This window comes from Homo sapiens, chromosome 14 (genome assembly GCF_000001405.40).
Source record: "Homo sapiens chromosome 14, GRCh38.p14 Primary Assembly".
Classification (NCBI taxonomy): Eukaryota; Metazoa; Chordata; class Mammalia; order Primates; family Hominidae; genus Homo; species Homo sapiens.
In genome coordinates, this window is record NC_000014.9 from 18,965,569 (window position 1) to 18,982,696 (window position 17,128).

The window sequence follows — 17,128 nt, forward strand, 5'->3', positions numbered from 1 at the left end:
TTTGCACTTGTGATTGGCTTTTCCTCTACTTCTTTTGGTAAGAGCAGGTTGGTGTCCAGGCTCAGAATCCATTTTTCCTCCCACACCAAAGCACCTGTGGTGTGGGTGAAGCAGACTGGAGCCTGGCTGCATAAAGCTTTGCAGCAGGAGAGTCCTGGCAGGAGCATTGAGGTGCCACTGCCCTGGTCCAGCTCAGAGGCCAGCACCAGGGAGGCTCAGTGTCTTGTTCTCAGGATCTGCACGTGGGGTTGCCTTTCTGCATCTCCCCATCAGTGGTAGGTGCTCCTCCAAGCCCCCTCTTGCTGGCCTGGACACAGCGGCCTGCACCTTGACCCTATTGCATGCCAGTGGAGCAGAGCCCCCCAGGCCAGAAGCCCCACAGATGTTGGCCCTGGCTTGGACAGGCAGGGGGCACCGGGGCAGGAGCTGGCTGCGATCCTGTGGCCCCAAATGCCCCCTCGCTGATGGCCTCGTGTTCTGGGTGTGGAGCAAAGAGGAGCAGGTATCGAAGGCACCTCAGGCAGGTGCTGGGCTCAGTGGGCGTCTTGTGCTCCATGATTTTTTTTCAAATTTTATTATTATTATACTTTAAGTTTTAGGGTACATGTGCATAACGTGCAGGTTTGTTACATATGTATACATGTGCCATGTTGGTGTGCTGCACCCATTAACTCGTCATTTAGCATTAGGTATATCTCCTAATGCTATCCCTCCCCCCTCCCCCCACACAACAGTCCCCGGTGTGTGATGTTCCCCTTCCTGTGTCCGTGTGTTCTCGTTCCATTCCCACCTGTGAGTGAGAACATGCTCCGTGATTTTGAGGCCATTTGCAGCCAGCTCCGCCAGCCGGTGCTCTGAGCTGCAGCAGCGGCCATGCACAACAGCACCACCAGGAGTGTCCTGGGGGCTTTCTTCAGAGGAGGCTGTCAGCATCCTCAAGTTCCAGCCACTTAGCCCCAGTCCTGCTTCAAGAAGCTTTTTCTTTCACCAGAGGCTTCTCAATGGCCTGAAAGCTAGGCTGACTCCCAGGAAGTTTGCCGGGAAACACCAGGCTGTCAGTGACATTCGTGGTTCCAAGGCTTATGCAGGTTGCACGCATCGGCCACTGTCTGTGCCACGTGTACTGACACCACCAGAGATGCGCACGCCGCACGCCGCACGCGCACGCCGCACGCCGCACGCCGCACGCGCACGCCGCACGCGCACGCCGCACGCGCACGCCGCACGCGCACGCCGCACGCGCACGCCGCACGCGCACGCCGCACGCGCGGCAGTGGCTTGGCTGGCTTGTAACGGCTTGCACGTGCATGCCGCGCGCGCACGCCGCACGCGTATAACGGTTTGGCTGGCCTGTAACTGCTTGCACGCGCATGCCGCACGTGCGTAATGGCTTGGCTGGCCTGTAATGGCTTGCACGCGCATGCTGCACGCGCGTTAACGGCTTGGCTGGCCTGTAACACTCGGCATGCGCACACTGCACGTGCGTAACGGCTTGGCTGGCCTGTAGCAGCTAGACTTGGCTCTGCGACCTTTGCTTGGCTTGGCAGCGTGACTGCTGGGATAGACATTCCTTCCTTGGACTGACGTTTTTTCTGTCACGTTACTCCGCTGGACTTGACCTTTTCTCTTCTGGGTTTGGCATTCCCTTGGGTGGGCCGGGTGTTTTCTTGGGGGGTGGGGTTGGCCCTTCCTGGGGTGGGCGTGGGGTCGCCCAGCGTGGGTGTGGGCTTTCCCCAGGTGGGTGTGGGTTTTCCCTGGGTGGGGTGGGCTGGGCTCCCCTGCTGGGGTTGGCAGGTTTTGGTCGGGACTTTTCTCTTCAAACAGATTAGAAACCCGGAGTTATCTGCTAGTTGGTGAAACTGGTTGGTAGACGCGATCTGCTGGCTACTACCGGCCTCCCCTGGCTGTTAAAAGCAGATGGTGGCTGAGGCTGGTTCAATGCCGGCTGCCTCCTCTGTGAAGAAGCCATTTGGTCTCAGAAGCAAGATGGGCAAGTGGTGCCGCCACTGCTTCCCCTGGTGCAGGGGGAGCGGCAAGAGCAACGTGGGCACTTCTGGAGACCACGATGATTCTGCTATGAAGACACTCAGGAGCAAGATGGGCAAGTGGTGCCGCCACTGCTTCCCCTGGTGCAGGGGGAGCGGCAAGAGCAACGTGGGCACTTCTGGAGACCACGACGACTCTGCTATGAAGACACTCAGGAGCAAGATGGGCAAGTGGTGCTGCCACTGCTTCCCCTGCTGCAGGGGGAGCGGCAAGAGCAAAGTGGGCCCCTGGGGAGACTACGACGACAGCGCTTTCATGGAGCCGAGGTACCACGTCCGTCGAGAAGATCTGGACAAGCTCCACAGAGCTGCCTGGTGGGGTAAAGTCCCCAGAAAGGATCTCATCGTCATGCTCAAGGACACTGACATGAACAAGAAGGACAAGCAAAAGAGGTAACCAGGCCTGGGCTGGGAGGAGGTGGGATGTGGGAGGATGATGGGGACATACCCTCCTGGCGGGGGAGGAGGGGAGCCTGGTTTTCTCGCCTCCGCAGGCCTCACACCACCCTGGATGTGGAAACCTCAGAGAGTTCAGGGCACAGGCCCCTTTATGAGCAGCAACACAAAAACAAAACTTTAGCTGATTTCCAATCAAATTATAATTTCCCTCCTAGAACACTAATAGACTGTTTTGAAGTGATTTAACTCGCAACATTGTCGATGCAGCAGATTATTTTTAATGTACAGATTTTAAAACAATGTTCTATACGTTAAAAAAGTGTATATTGAGAACTAAGAATGAAGCCCCATAACACATCAACTTCAGGGCTAAATATTCTTCAAATAAAATCCAGTATGGATTTTATATCAATGTACACTATGTAAATATGTTCTTTACTGAGTAATCTTAGAAGGAAACTGAAATGGGAAGATGGTTCTTGTGCTTGAATAGGAAGATTGAATTTTCTGAAGATGTGAGCTTTTTGGCTGGGCGTGGTGGCTCACACCTGTAATCCCAGCACTTTGGGAGGCTGAGGAGGGCAGATCATGGGATCAGGAGATCGAGACCATCCTGGCTAACACGGTGAAACCCCGTCTCTACTAAAAAATATAAAAAAAATTAGCTGGACGCGGTGGCAGGCACCTGTAGTCCCAGCTACTCAGGAGGCTGAGGCAGGAGAATGGCGTGAACCCGGGAGGCGGAGCTTGCAGTGAGCCGAGATCACGCCACTGTACTCCAGCCTGGGAGACAGAGCAAGACTCCGTCTCAAAAAAAAAAAAAAAAGTGAGCTTTTTCTATTTATCACTTTTACTTAAGCCAAATAAAAATAGCAGTTTTAGAGTTTTTAAATTACACATGCTGTCTTTTATTATTGTGCTAAGTTAATTTTTTTGTAGCAGAATGGACAAAGGCTTGCTTTTCCAGATGTCAAAATGTGCATGTTATTTATTTCCACAAATTGTTTACTAACAGCTGAAAAGACATCAATGAATAAAACAGAACAGGAAATTTAGAAATACCGAAATATATGTAGGAATTTAGCGCTTGATAATGGTGACGTTTTGTATTATTTAAAAAAGATGGATTGTTCATAATTCATTTTTGGAGAAAACTAGCTAGATGTTTATATCACAAAAATCAGAGTATAGATTAAAAATTTTAAATATACAAAAAGAGAAACATACCAGAAGAAAACACAAGTGCCTATTTACATATGCAGATATATATACACATGTATATATATGTATATACGTATATATATGTATATATATATATATACGTATATACATATATATACATGTGTATATATATATATATATATATACACAAAATTTCTTTTTTTTTTTTGATGGAGTCTCACTCTGTTGCCCAGGCTGGAGTGCAGTGGTGCGATCTCGGCTCACTGCAACCTCTGCCTCATAGGTTCAAGCAATTCTCTGCTTCAGCCTACTGAGTAGCTGGGATTACAGGCGCCTGCCACCACGCCTGGCTAATTGTTTTGTATTTTTAGTAGAGATGGGGTTTCACCATCTTGGCCAGGCTGGTCTTGAACTCCTGTCCTCGTGATCCACCCACCTTGGCCTCCCAAAGTGCTGTGGTTACAGGCGTGAGCCACCATGCCTGGCCTATATATGCAATAAAATAAGCACATTTTAAAATTGGGCAAAGTACTTTTTTGCATATCTACCAGTGACCTATGTGCATAGGAAAAGATAGCATTCCTGGTAGAAGAAGGAATTTAAATTAGAAGAGGAATGAAATACTGTTTTCTATTTAAGTTAGAGGAGGAATGAAAGGCCAGGTGCAGTGGCTTACGCCTGTTACCCCAGCACTTTAGGAGGCTGAGGCAGGTGGATCATGAAGTCAGGAGTTTGAGACCAGCCTGGCCAGTGTGGTGAAATCCTATCTCTACTGAAAATACAAAGAATTAGCTGGGCATGGTAGCATGCACCTGTAATCCCAGCTACTCAGGAGGCTGAAGCAAGAGAATTGCTTGAACCAGGGAGGTGGAGGTTGCAGTGAGCCGAGATCGTGCCACTACATTCCGGCATGGGTGACAGAGTGAGACCCCATCTAAAAAACAAACAAACAAAAGGAATGAAATACTGTTTTCTATCCACAAAGTTTGTGAGGATGAATAACAGTGGTACTTATATAGTTGTTTAAAGTTTAAGTTGCTGCAGCTTTTCAAACAGGCACTTTAGTGGTAAGAACCACATTTTAAAAATGTTATGCTTTTTCCTCATCAGTTCCATTATACTGAAATATCTTCACCAAATAGATGTCTGTTTTTCTTAGTATTGCTTAAAATAGCAGTGTATTTAGAAAAGCCCATATAAAGATTTCATGAACAAATTTCAGTGCATCCATAGGACGGAATAATATGTAACTATTGAGGGTGTCAGTACATAGAGATATGTCGACATGCAAAGATGTACTTTGCTATAGCAAGTGAGAAGAAAAATCAGTTTGTTACACATATACACGAACAGAATCTGCTCTTGTGTTAGCTGAAAATATGTAGAAAATATAATCAAACTTGTTTCTGGGGATTTGTAAATGAAGTTTTTCCTTTTATCTGTGATTTCTGCAATGAACATCTGAACTTTTAGTTTAGGTTCATTAGTAATGACATAATCCTTGGGAAGAGAAGGAATATGCTTCTTGCATAGATGCAAATAATTTCTCACATTCTATTATTTATTTTTATTTCTGTGGTTGGCTATCTACTGTGAACTTTTACCCTCTTCAGAAGTAGAGGGATTGTGTTTACCTGTTCTTGTAGATTTTATTGTATATAGATTTTATTACATAATTACCTTTTCATTATATATAGATTAACATGTAAAAAGTATGAATTAATCATTTTAGTTGAGTTATATATTTATGAAAATTAAAATAGCAAATATAAATGATATTACTATTGCAAATGTATTGCCCTACTCTACAGGAGTTTTCTTTAAAAATATTGAACTCCCAAGCTGTGTTCATCCATTGTTTTCAATCCGTTTAGTCATCAGACATAAGCCAGACACCTATTATGGGGCAGGCATATTCTACTATCTCTCAGGATCCTTCCATCTTTGAAAACATTTATGTTTGCCTGCTGGGCTTGAGCAAGCTGAGAGATTTAAAATTGGGGCATTAGGACTTAATCTCAATTGAAGCTTCTCCTCCCTCCTTTCAAACAGAAGCATTTCTGAAGGTAGAAAATAGTAAAAGACAACCCTTAACTGCCCTTTTGAAAATGTATAAGTCTTGGATAAAGACTGTTTTAGTTGTTTTAAGAACTAAAATGTGGTACATAAACAGCATGGAATACTATGCAGCCATAAAAGAAGGAACGAGAGCCTGTCCTTTGCAGGAACATGGATGGTGTTGAAAGCCATTATCCTTAGCAAACTAACATAGGAAGAGAAAACCAAATACTGTATGTTCTCACTTATAGGTGGGAGCTAAATGATGTCAACACACAGATACCTAGAGGGAAGCAACACACACTGGGGCCTATCAGAGGGTGGAGGGTGGGAGGAGGGAAAGAAGCAGGAAATAGAATGAACGGGTACTGGGCTTAACACCTGGGTAATGAAATAATCTGTACAACCAACCCCGTTGGTGCACGTTTACCTATGTAACAAACCTGCACATCCCGCACATGTACCCCTGAATGTAAAAGTTGAAAAAAGCTCCACAAATAGTTTCATAAATCCATTTTAAAAAGAGAAAATTTATAACAGTCTTAAATCCTAATATGAATGATTGGAAATATCTGATGTACATACATTGTATAAATCTAAGTATTGAAAAAAATGAGCCCATGCTATTCATTTCAATTCCAAGTTTTGTTTGGCTTAAAGTTTATTGAAAACCAAAGTAAGAATTGGTTTATTTTAGAAATTTGTTTTTGTTTTCACTTCAGCTCTCTTATTCCATAGTACTTTTAAGAACTAAAATTTAAATGCTGGTCATCTGACTGGAACCGCCCCAGACCTGTTACATTATAACATATTCTACTTAATGTAAGGCACCAGAGATTGTACGATGCCCCATTATTTTATGTCTCAATAAGAGAATTATTTAAATGCCGCCAATTATAGTAAATCATGAATTGTAAGTGGTATTTCAGTGGAGACAACATGGAGACAATGATCATCTCAGAATCACTAAAATACAATGTTAGCTGTAATATTTAAAACACACCTGAAAGTGTAGGTATAATTGTATCATCTCACTTAATTCAAATGTTGTCTTTAGTGGTATTAGTAAAAATCATAATATCTAACAATTATTGAGCTGTTATTTGTGTTAGGAACTATTCTGTATCTTTTGTGCCGAGTCTCATTTAAGCATTACAGTGGTTTCCTGTGAGAAAGCTACTATTTTCATTCCTATTTTATTGATGAGGAAACTGAGACCCCAAAAGGCTAAGCAACAGCCAGAAAGTGACAGAGCTTCAAGTAGGATTCCAGCCCAAGTTGAATGTCATCCAAGGGCTATGCTCTTTGTATTCATATAGGCTGCTCTTTCATTAATACAGCGAGTAATGAGAGATAATAAATCGTGTGCTTTTTTCATGGGAAAGTTAAATGTTTGTTTTGAAGGCACAGTAATAGCAGGCTATTCAGTGTTTGCGATTATGTGTATCATTGATATGGCTGTAGCTAGTGCACTACAATTTCCTAAAAAGTCTTCTCACCCTCATAGGACTGCTCTACATCTGGCCTCTGCCAATGGAAATTCAGAAGTAGTAAAACTCCTGCTGGACAGACGATGTCAACTTAATATCCTTGACAACAAAAAGAGGACAGCTCTGACAAAGGTATGCAGTAGCCAACTATGTCAGCGTGAAGTGGGTTTGATTTCAATACATAGCATAAAAATGAGTTTTCTCCTTTAAATATAACTAGTTGGTGAAAGCTGTGGAATGTTATTTTGAAATCCTAGGATTTGTAATTTGTTTATGGTGTAATACTGACAGGCCGTACAATGCCAGGAAGATGAATGTGCGTTAATGTTGCTGGAACATGGCACTGATCCGAATATTCCAGATGAGTATGGAAATACCGCTCTACACTATGCTATCTACAATGAAGATAAATTAATGGCCAAAGCACTGCTCTTATACGGTGCTGATATCGAATCAAAAAACAAGGTATAGATCTACCAATTTTATCTTCAAAATACTGAAATGCATTCGTGTTAACATTGACCTGTGTAAGGGCCAGTTTTCCATATTTGGAAGCTCAAGCATAACCTGAATGAAAATATTTTGAAATGACCTAATTATCTAAGATTTTATTTTAAATATTGTTACTTTCAAAGAAGCATTAGAGGGTACAGTTTTTTTTTTTAATGCACTTGCGGTAAATACTTTTTTTTGAAAACACTGAATTTGTAAAAGGTAATACTTACTATTTTTCAGTTTTTCCCTCCTAGGATTCTTTTCCCCTAATGAATGTAAAATGGCAAAATTTGCCCTGAAATAGGTTTTACATGAAAACTCCAAGAAAACTTAAACATGTCTCAGTGAATAGAGATCCTGCTTCTTTGGCAAGTTCCTAAAAAACAGTAATAGATACGAGGTGATGCACCTCTCAGTGGCAAGGCTTAAGATATTTCTGATTGCTCATGAGGCAGAAGTGGAAAGGGAAAAAGAGAGCAGTCAGAAATATCAGGGCCAATTTGGAAATTAGGCAATAGAGGGAAAAGACCATGAAGAGGTTGTGTGTGTGTGGTGTTGTTGTTGTTGTTCATTTATTTATTTCCTTTGTATGGTGAGACAAAGTTCTCTTTGATTTTAGAGAATGACAGTTTTCAGTTTGGGAGAGGGAGTTAGTGGGTTGTAAACTGCCTAGAGATGAATTTTAGGAGGCCTCTGAGGAACCAGATTGGCAGTGAATAGGTGGGTAATGTAAGGGGAAACCCTTGAGCAGGGGGAATATCAAGTAATTAACTGACTTAGTATCCTCTTCTGGTAGAAGTGGCCAATTAGAGCCTCAGCTCTGCTTTCAAATCTAGAGTGTCTGGATGGGAAGGTGGAAGATAAATGAGTAACAAGATCAAGCTGGATTTTGAGTTGACTAGATCCTGTTGTGTTACCGGGAAAAATTATGTGGTGTTTTCAGCAAATGGGTCTCTCTCCTACTCTTTACTCTTTTTGGCCAAATCTTCAAATAAGAAAGGGAATTGGTTATGTGGGTGGTGAGAAATGAGACTGAAGTAATTGTCTATTGTACTAGCTTTCAGCTAGAATTGTGCATCCCAGTAACCTGAGGAAAATTTTTAAATAATCAACAAGTCTAGGCTTATTCCTGAAGATTTTGATACAGTAAGTCTAATAAAGCTTGGATATGTATATTTAAAAATGTTTCCTTGAAGCCAGGCATGTTGGTGCATGGCTGTAGTCCCAACTGTTAGGGAGGCTGAGGTGGGAGGATTGCTTGAGCTCAGGTGTTCGAGTCTAGCCTTGTCAACATAATGAGCCCCTGTCTCTAACAACGACAGCAACAATAACAACAGCAACAATTTTCTCAAAATCTGGATACACTCCTGCTTAAGAACCACTGAATACATAAATGTAATATATAAATTCTTATATCTCAGAAACTTAAGGTATCTCTAGAAGAGTTGGAGTTGGATATGTGCTGATTTCTTTAAATCTTTCCTTTCCAATAACATTAATCTGACTTTTTTTTTTTTTTTTAGATTGAGTCTCACTCTGTTTCCCAGGCTGGAGTGCAGTGGTGTGATCACAGCTCACTGCAACCTCGACCTCCCGAAGCTCAGATGGTCCTCCAACCTCAACCTCAGTTTTTTTTTTCTTTCTTTCTTTTTATTTTTATTTTTATTTTTATTTTTTTTTAGTAGAGATGAGGTTTTTGCCATGTTTCTCAGGCTGGTCTTGAACTCCTGGGCTCAAGCAATTCATCCCCCTCAGCCTCCCAAAGTGCTAGGATTACAGGTGTGAGCCACCATTCCTGGCCTAGTCTGACTTTTATCTCTGTGGTTGAGACATTAAAATGAATATTATTGGTAGTATCTATCAGGTTACATATCAGGTTACAGAATAATATATTTTCCTTTCTACCATCAGTTATTCACTGCCATTCAGAAGGTCTTTAGTAGTTTGCTGTGAGCAGTCTTTCAATAAGTAGAGGATGGCCCTCTCAGGATTTTTTGTCTCTTTGTTCAGTCATTCAAGTGCTTAGGTCAGTAAGTCATTAAGAGCAGAGTTTTATCAATTGGAATTAAGCAAATTCTAAACTGTTTTTTATCAATTGAAGCTGTATTGTGGACTGTCCAGTGTGTCTCTTTAAGTATGTAGAGCTTTGGCATAATCAGCATGGCAGTTTTACACACTTAAAACCATGGAGTTATTAAGAATGCAGATAGGAATTCTGTTAATTTAGTTTCAGTAGTCCTATGAACTGATTATTTAGTAACAATCTGGGAAAATTAAATATAAATAGATTTTAAATAAATAAATGTTGGAAAATTTTTTCAGATGGGCAGTGTGAGTTTTAATAGCAATTTTTGTTGCATGTTGGAGGTTGAACTTTCAGTAAAACATGAAACTAAAGAAATATTTTACATGCAAATTCTTGCTTTATACGCAATTTATCTTAGGGTTGAGGATATAGAAACAAAAGATACAACCCCTGCCCTCAAGGAGCTCTTTGTTTAGATGGGAAAAATATTACCATCCAATAATACCATATCAAATGCTGGGTTAGAAGCAAAGAGCCTTGGAAGCAGTAAATGTTTAAAGTGAGTTTTTGAGATGAGTAGAGTTACTGTGGTGAGGCAGAGAAGGGGTGTTTCCAAGGGAAGGAGCAGCGTGTGGGAAAGCACAGAAGAGTGAGAAGGAAGCGACTACATTTTATTTACTTTCTATGCATGTAAGTCCATAAGATCTTATATAAAGTTTCCACTTCGGTTGAGGAATATGTACTTTTTTGAATTACATACGTTTTTGCTTTATATTGTTTTACAGCATGGCCTCACACCACTGTTACTTGGTGTACATGAGCAAAAACAGCAAGTGGTGAAATTCTTAATCAAGAAAAAAGCAAATTTAAATGCACTGGATAGATATGGAAGGTATAGTTCTTTCTTTTAATCTGTGTGTTCTAGATGGATAGCAGTCACTCAAGTCATAAATATTAAATTAATAAGATTAATGTATACTTATTGGGATATAGTGATCAGTATGAACACAAATCAGTTCGGTAGAAAAACAATTATTTGGACTGGGCAACATAAAAGTTTTAGTAGGATTCATCTTTTATTATATTGACTGATGTTATTTGCTATGTAATGTTTTTGGTTATATGATCTTATGTTAGCTAAAGGGATTTCATATTTTATGAAGTTTGAACTTTAATTTTAGTTTACTTTATGACTCAGTATTGAACTTCTTAACCCTTTCTAATAGTTTTTAACCTGTGTCTTACATGCTTTTCCACTAAATACGCTGTATTAACCATAAATAGGGGTTGAAAATCCTTTTGTCTTTTCAATGATTCTGCCTTAAGTTGCTTTCTTTGAAGAATATTAATGTTAGCTTATCCCTGCATGACAATTAATTGCTGTTCCCACGTACTGTGGGTTCAACAGCTTTTTTCCTTTTTTATTTCCAGTGTATTTTGATGTTTTTATTTTTAATTGGTATGGAGAGAGGGAGTGAAGATAGTTTTAAGTGGATACACTTTTCCTTTAATGAAGACAAGCCGTAGTGGTGTGATAAAGAGAAAAAAGTTAGGCTTTAGATTCACACAATACTGGTTTTAATTCCTAACTTTCTTACTTGCTAGGTGTGTGACCTTGGGAACGTTATTTACCACCAAATATGTTGTCATATATGAAAAGTAGGAGAATATATCCTTCAAAGTTTGCTGTGCATAAGAAAGATATATGTGGCATTTAATTCAGTGCCTAGCACATGCTTATTGGCATCATTAACTGAAACTCCTGTGACTACTATTCTTACCATTATTATTAATCTTACTTGCTTTCAGCATGCAGAGAGCTCTTATTTATTTTACCCCCTAGCTGATTTTCTATTACAGCATATCAGTCTAGGGAAGCTGTGATGAAATCTTCACTTAAATCTTTGTTCATTTCAGATAAGTGGCCCTAATATTGTTTCTTGTCCATCAAAGGACTTTAAATTAGTAGCTTCTGCTATGCAATACCCCACTGAGATAAGAGGGTTTTTTTTTTTTTTGTCCCTTCCTTTCAACCTTGGTGGTATTTTACAAAGATGAACACTTGAGCACTGAAGATGCTTATGTCTTTTAGTGCATGTAAATGTTTGATTCTGCACGGACAGGCAAGATGTTAAATTGGTAAAGTATATCAAATTAGCTTTTAAAATAACTTTATTACTGTTCCTATCTCTGTCATTTTAGAACTGTTCTCATACTTGCTGTATGTTGTGGATCGGCAAGTATAGTCAGCCTTCTACTTGAGCAAAACATTGATGTATCTTCTCAAGATCTATCTGGACAGACGGCCAGAGAGTATGCTGTTTCTAGTCGTCATAATGTGTAAGTGTTTACATTAAAAGGCTAGTTAATGCTAAATTGAGGTTTAAAATAATTATAACAGTTACATCTTACATATCAGGTGAGATGTCATAGTTCAGTTCAGGTAGTTTTCGCGTGGCAGTGAGTTAGTCCCCTGCATCAGCCAGAAATCAGACAAAAAACAAGACAAGTTAGAAGTACCAGTGGGTGCAGGATTCTTTATCTCAGGACTTTTAAGACCTTTATCCATAGAGATCCCAACATTGTTCATTTGATCCAAGTGTAGCACCTATGCATGGGATAAAAAATAGTATCACATCTTTGATTTTTCTGATTAGTTATTTGGGTCTTGAAATGTCCAGTTTATCAGAAAGTCTTGTACTGTCTTCTGGGGACTATGTCCTAGATACTCCTTGAATTTTTCAGGAACCAAAGGGGTTCACTAAATCCAAGGAAGACGGTCCCTTTTATCAAGTCAGAAGGAGGAGAAAAAAAAGGACATTGCAATCATTCTGTTGTTTCCATTGATTCTGCTGCTGCATTGTTGCCACTCAAACTGGTCCTGCTGCCTTAAGATGAATCGGTAGATTCAGGTCCCTCGAGTCTTCATGGCAATTGATACAGTGACTTTGATGTTTTTTGTTCCCATACCTATGGTTATATGCTCAGCCATTGTTCCCAAAGCAGCAGCCCCCTGCTCTGGCCCCTGGGCATCCTGACTTTATCCACACACAAAATGAGCAAATTGACCCTTCCCCCCATATTCAGAACCTAATGTGGAACCCACATCTTAGCCAAGAATTAGCTGAGACCTTCATGGTAAGAGATCCTTTGAGGCCGTTGTTGGTCTTTTCTCTAGCAGATATTAGGTAGGCTTGTTCTAAAGGGTCAGAGGAGTTCCAAAGGGTCAGAGGGGTGGCAGAAAGAGATCAGTGTTTGTTTCTTCTTCTTTGCTACCAGATCTATACTGTGAGGCACCTTTATATCCTGTATAGAACCTTGGGCAGTAGAAAGTCCCATATGAACCTTCCCCTGAGCAGTGGCTCCCAGCTGTGGTTGGCCCCTTGAGTGACCCGATTTACATGATAATGAAAATCGTCCAAGCTACTTCCATCTCTAGCTCAAGATTTTAAGATATTTTCAAACTCTAGCTCACAGGAAGCCATTGAAGAGAAATCTCAGAATCTCAGGTAGGTTAGTTGGACTCAACAGAGCCAAGCCTTGTCCATGAAGCATCACTAGGCATGTGTAAAAGTAGGGCTTTGTGCTTGCTTCGGCGGCACATATCCTAAAATTAGAACAATACGGAGAAAGTTAGCGTGGCTTCTGCATAAGGAGGCAGCACAGATCTTTGAAGCATTCCATATTTTGTGCAGTCACTGGAAGGTCATTTGACTATTTGCTGACTAGCTCTAAGGAAACAGTGTGAATCAAAGCGAAATGGGTGCCACCCAAATATTGAAATTGTGATTTGCGCTGCAAAAATAGTCATGTAAGATGGTCTATGAGATGACTTAGAGCTGAATAACATGTTTGGTGCAAAATATATTGTTAGTATGTATGTCGAAAATGACAGAATGTCAGCTTGCTACTTCTTCATGGAAACTAAAAAAAATAAAAGTAGACTTTTGGTCTCCCATGTCAGCCGGAATTGAACATCAATATAAAGCATCATTGTAACCAACATCTGCGGGCTCAGAGTTTGAGTCTGTAGAGAAGGCTCATTGGTCCAAACCAGGTCTTAACATCCATTGGTTTTTCTGCCCTTGGTGTGATTGATCAACTCCGTAATAGTGGACAATCACATTATCTACTTTAATGAGATATTTAGGAATACATTTAGTTACAAACTATGACATAGTTGAGATGCCCTGAAATATAAGCCATAAAGAGTAGGACAACTAAGAGGCAAAATTAGGACTTAATAACATTTTCTGAAAACTACAACATTTGCATATTAGAACCTATGAACAAAATACGCATTGGGTTTTATTTGTGATTCCAAGATAATTTTAGTCATAAAGTTTAGGAAGAGATTATTCCATTGCTTTACTATTTCTCTCAGCATTTAAAAAATGTGATCTCATTAAATTTTTATCGGAACCTAGGGAAATAAGGCAGCAAAGTCCTCACTTTGTTGAAGAAGACATTGAGCCTAAGAGAAGCAAGTTGTCCAAGAACAAATAGCTGTTCATTATGGAGCTAGGACTTATGCAGAGTTGGGACACTTTCTATTATGTCAGGTTAATGCAACCTAATTTACTGGGTCACATGCCCTCGATTTATGAGTATTTCACCCTACATTTTTTTCTTCTTTAATTAGAAGCTTAAAGAGAAGTTTGCAGAATGTACTCATAAGTGGATGGGATAATACTGTTAAGTTCTGATATTCTGATATTGTTTGAAATACTGTTAAGAATTTCACATTTGGTAAGTATTTTTTATATCAGTATTAAAATAGTAATTTGGTTTATTACAATTTTATACATAGAATTTGCCAGTTACTTTCTGACTACAAAGAAAAACAGATACTAAAAGTCTCTTCTGAAAACAGCAATCCAGGTAAGACTTATAACAGTGAATTACTTTAGGTTAGTTTTCCCCAACCTTTTTGGCACCAGGGACCGGTTTTGTGGAAGACAATCTTTCCATGGGCTGGGGAAAGGTGGGGATGGTTTCAGAATTATTCAATCATGTTACATTTATTGTGCTATTTTATATTATTATTACATTGTAATATATAATGAAATAATTATACAACTTACCATAATGTAGAATCAGTGGAAGCTCTGAGCTTATTTTTCTGCAACTAGATGGTCTTATCTGGGGGCAAAGTGAGACAATGATAGATCATCTGGCATTAGATTCTCATACGAAGCACACAACCTAGATCCTTCGGATAGGCAGTTCACAACAGGGTTCGTGCTCCAATGAGTTTCTAATGTTATCACTGATCTGAGTGGAGGCAGAGTTCAGGCTGTAATATGAGCCATGGCGTGTGGCTGTAAGTACAGGTGAAGCTTCCTTGGCTTGCCTAGTGCTCACCTCCTCCTGTGTGGTGTGGTTCATAATAGTCCGTGGACTGGTATGAGTCTGTGGCCTGGGAGTTGAGGACCCCTGCTCTGGGTGGTTCTACCATAGATAAAAAACTAAAAGTAAGGAATTTTTGATCACAAAAGAACACTGAAGCACAGGTCATGTTACACATGCTTGTCCCAATAAGGTCTCACTATTACTGACTTCATTCCTCCTCATTTGAAGTTGGAAAGAGATATATTGACTTTTTTGGAACAAGATGTGTTCTTCTACCTGCTGGTTAATTGTCATGATAACAGTAATTTTGTTAGAACAAGATGCTCTGCTACCATTTGCCAAAAGAGTGTCATAATAAATATGCAAATTGCCCAACTCTAGGCTCAGCAGATTATCATAAAAGTAGAAAAATGTTTCACACTAACAAAAATGCTAGTATGCTACCTGATTGTAGACACCTAATACATTGTATAGTCCAAACTGTATGAGGACACCTTTAATTTAGCCATCTATTTATCAAAGAGCTTCTGTAAGTTAGGTTTTATAAGTTGCAGGAGACAAAAATGGAATAGATGTAGTTTTCATCTTTAAGGTGCTCATAATAGAGCTGTCTCCATTTCATTTCTGTGCTTTTTCAACAGAATTTACAAAGAAAACATTTCTATTTTCACTTGTCCACTTAACAGATAACTATCAAATGTCTTTTAGATACTAGCCATTTTTTCTAATGCTACAGAGCACAAACAATTAAAAGTAGAGACAGGAGCTTGTTATTATCATTGTCATTTTCATTATTTTACTACTTTATTCAGTGCTTACTGTGTGCTAGATGCCCACTGGAAGCTTATAATTATGATTTATTATATATTGATTATGTGCCAGACATATGTGATGAGGAATGAAAATTTTGGAAAAAAGTAGGTATGATTTAAGGTAAGCATGCAGAGAGAGAAGAATTTTTCTAGGTAAAGAAGCAGAAGAATAATGTTTGGCAGAAGGAACATGCAACGAGGTTGTGTGTTTGCCAGAAGGAACATCTAATGAGATTGCCTGTTTGGCAGAAAGAGCAGCAAGTGCAAAAGACAAGATGCTTGAGTGAACTTTGCAGGGATTCTGAGCAATTCACTTTTGCTAATACCAAAAGTGTGAGATACGAGAGGTTGGGAATGAGGTGAATACTTAGCTAAGGCAAGTTCATGATAGACTTTTTAATACTACAGAAATGAGTAGGTTTTACCCCATGGGCCATGGGAAGTTTACCAGGTAGAATGCTTTGGACTGCAAATACTAGATGAGCGGTGGCTAAAACAGTAGGAACCAGAGTTGTTTTGTTTGTTCATTGATATCCTAGGATCCCACTTGTCCCTCTTTCAGCTGTGCTGTTGGCAGTGTTTTATTCACGTAACTGGGAGAAAACTTAGAAGCATGCAAGGGCTTCCTGTAATATTTCATTGGCTAGGTCAGAGTACCTGCTCATTCCCAAACCAGGCACTGGGAAGGAAAATACATGATTAGCTTAGAATAAACATTTCTCTTTCTGAGGCTGAGGAGGGGGATTGGGATAATAAATATCCCAATAGACTTGTGTTTCTTCTGCAAGAAAGAATAAGGAATGGCTATTGATAGGGAGCCAACAATGTGTGCTGCAGGGGCTCATTGGAGAAATTTGAGCAGGGGAGTCACAAGATTAAATTTGAGTATTAAGGCTTCTGGTTATGGTGTAAAACGGGTTAGAAAGCTTTTTCTGTAAAGGACTAGGTGGGAAATATTTTAGACTATGTGGTCTCTGTCATGTCTTCTTAACCCTGCTGTTGTCTGCTGTTGTAGTGTGAAAGCCACCAGAATTATATGTAAGCAAACAGGCATGACTGAGCTCCTATAAAACTTTACTCACAATGCCATAATGCAGATTGGATTTAGTCTGTAGCCTATAGTTTGCTGGGATTGATGGAAGGTTCTTTACTATGTAAAGAAACCAGGAGACAAAGGAAGCTTTTGCAGTAGTCAGCTATGGTTTCCTTGTCATACATCCTTGGAGTAGCATCAATGTATTACAAGGTTTTCACCTGTCCATAGTGAAA

General features: G+C 40.1%; 1 protein-coding gene, 1 long non-coding RNA gene and 1 pseudogene across 2 annotated transcripts in view, besides 1 other annotated feature; 2 read left to right on the top strand and 1 right to left on the bottom strand.

Annotated features, from left to right (window-relative positions):
- Positions 1–1,865: 1,865 nt before the first annotated feature.
- POTEM (POTE ankyrin domain family member M) overlaps positions 1,866–17,128 on the top strand; it is a 36,319-nt gene continuing 21,056 nt past the window's right edge. The window contains exons 1-6 of the mRNA NM_001145442.1: positions 1,866–2,438; positions 7,192–7,306; positions 7,466–7,639; positions 10,481–10,587; positions 11,898–12,035; positions 14,506–14,576. Of these exons, the coding sequence (NP_001138914.1) occupies positions 1,918–2,438; positions 7,192–7,306; positions 7,466–7,639; positions 10,481–10,587; positions 11,898–12,035; positions 14,506–14,576 (1,126 nt within the window). The 5' untranslated portion in view covers positions 1,866–1,917. The remainder of the gene's footprint in view (positions 2,439–7,191; positions 7,307–7,465; positions 7,640–10,480; positions 10,588–11,897; positions 12,036–14,505; positions 14,577–17,128) is intronic.
- Positions 11,180–15,225, bottom strand: LOC100508046 (uncharacterized). The gene is made up of 2 exons (NR_110505.1): positions 14,780–15,225; positions 11,180–13,302 (listed from the first exon to the last, which is right to left on the bottom strand). It is a non-coding gene; the product is annotated as an uncharacterized LOC100508046 (long non-coding RNA).
- Positions 11,907–12,408: an enhancer, noted in NCBI's record as "NANOG hESC enhancer chr14:20009730-20010231 (GRCh37/hg19 assembly coordinates)". NCBI's record gives its function as "activates a minimal SCP1, AML or CMV promoter by ChIP-STARR-seq in primed H9 embryonic stem cells {active_cell/tissue: H9 hESC(primed)}" and the evidence as "EXISTENCE:reporter gene assay evidence [ECO:0000049][PMID:30033119]".
- RNU6-1239P (RNA, U6 small nuclear 1239, pseudogene) lies at positions 13,279–13,385 on the top strand (annotated as a pseudogene).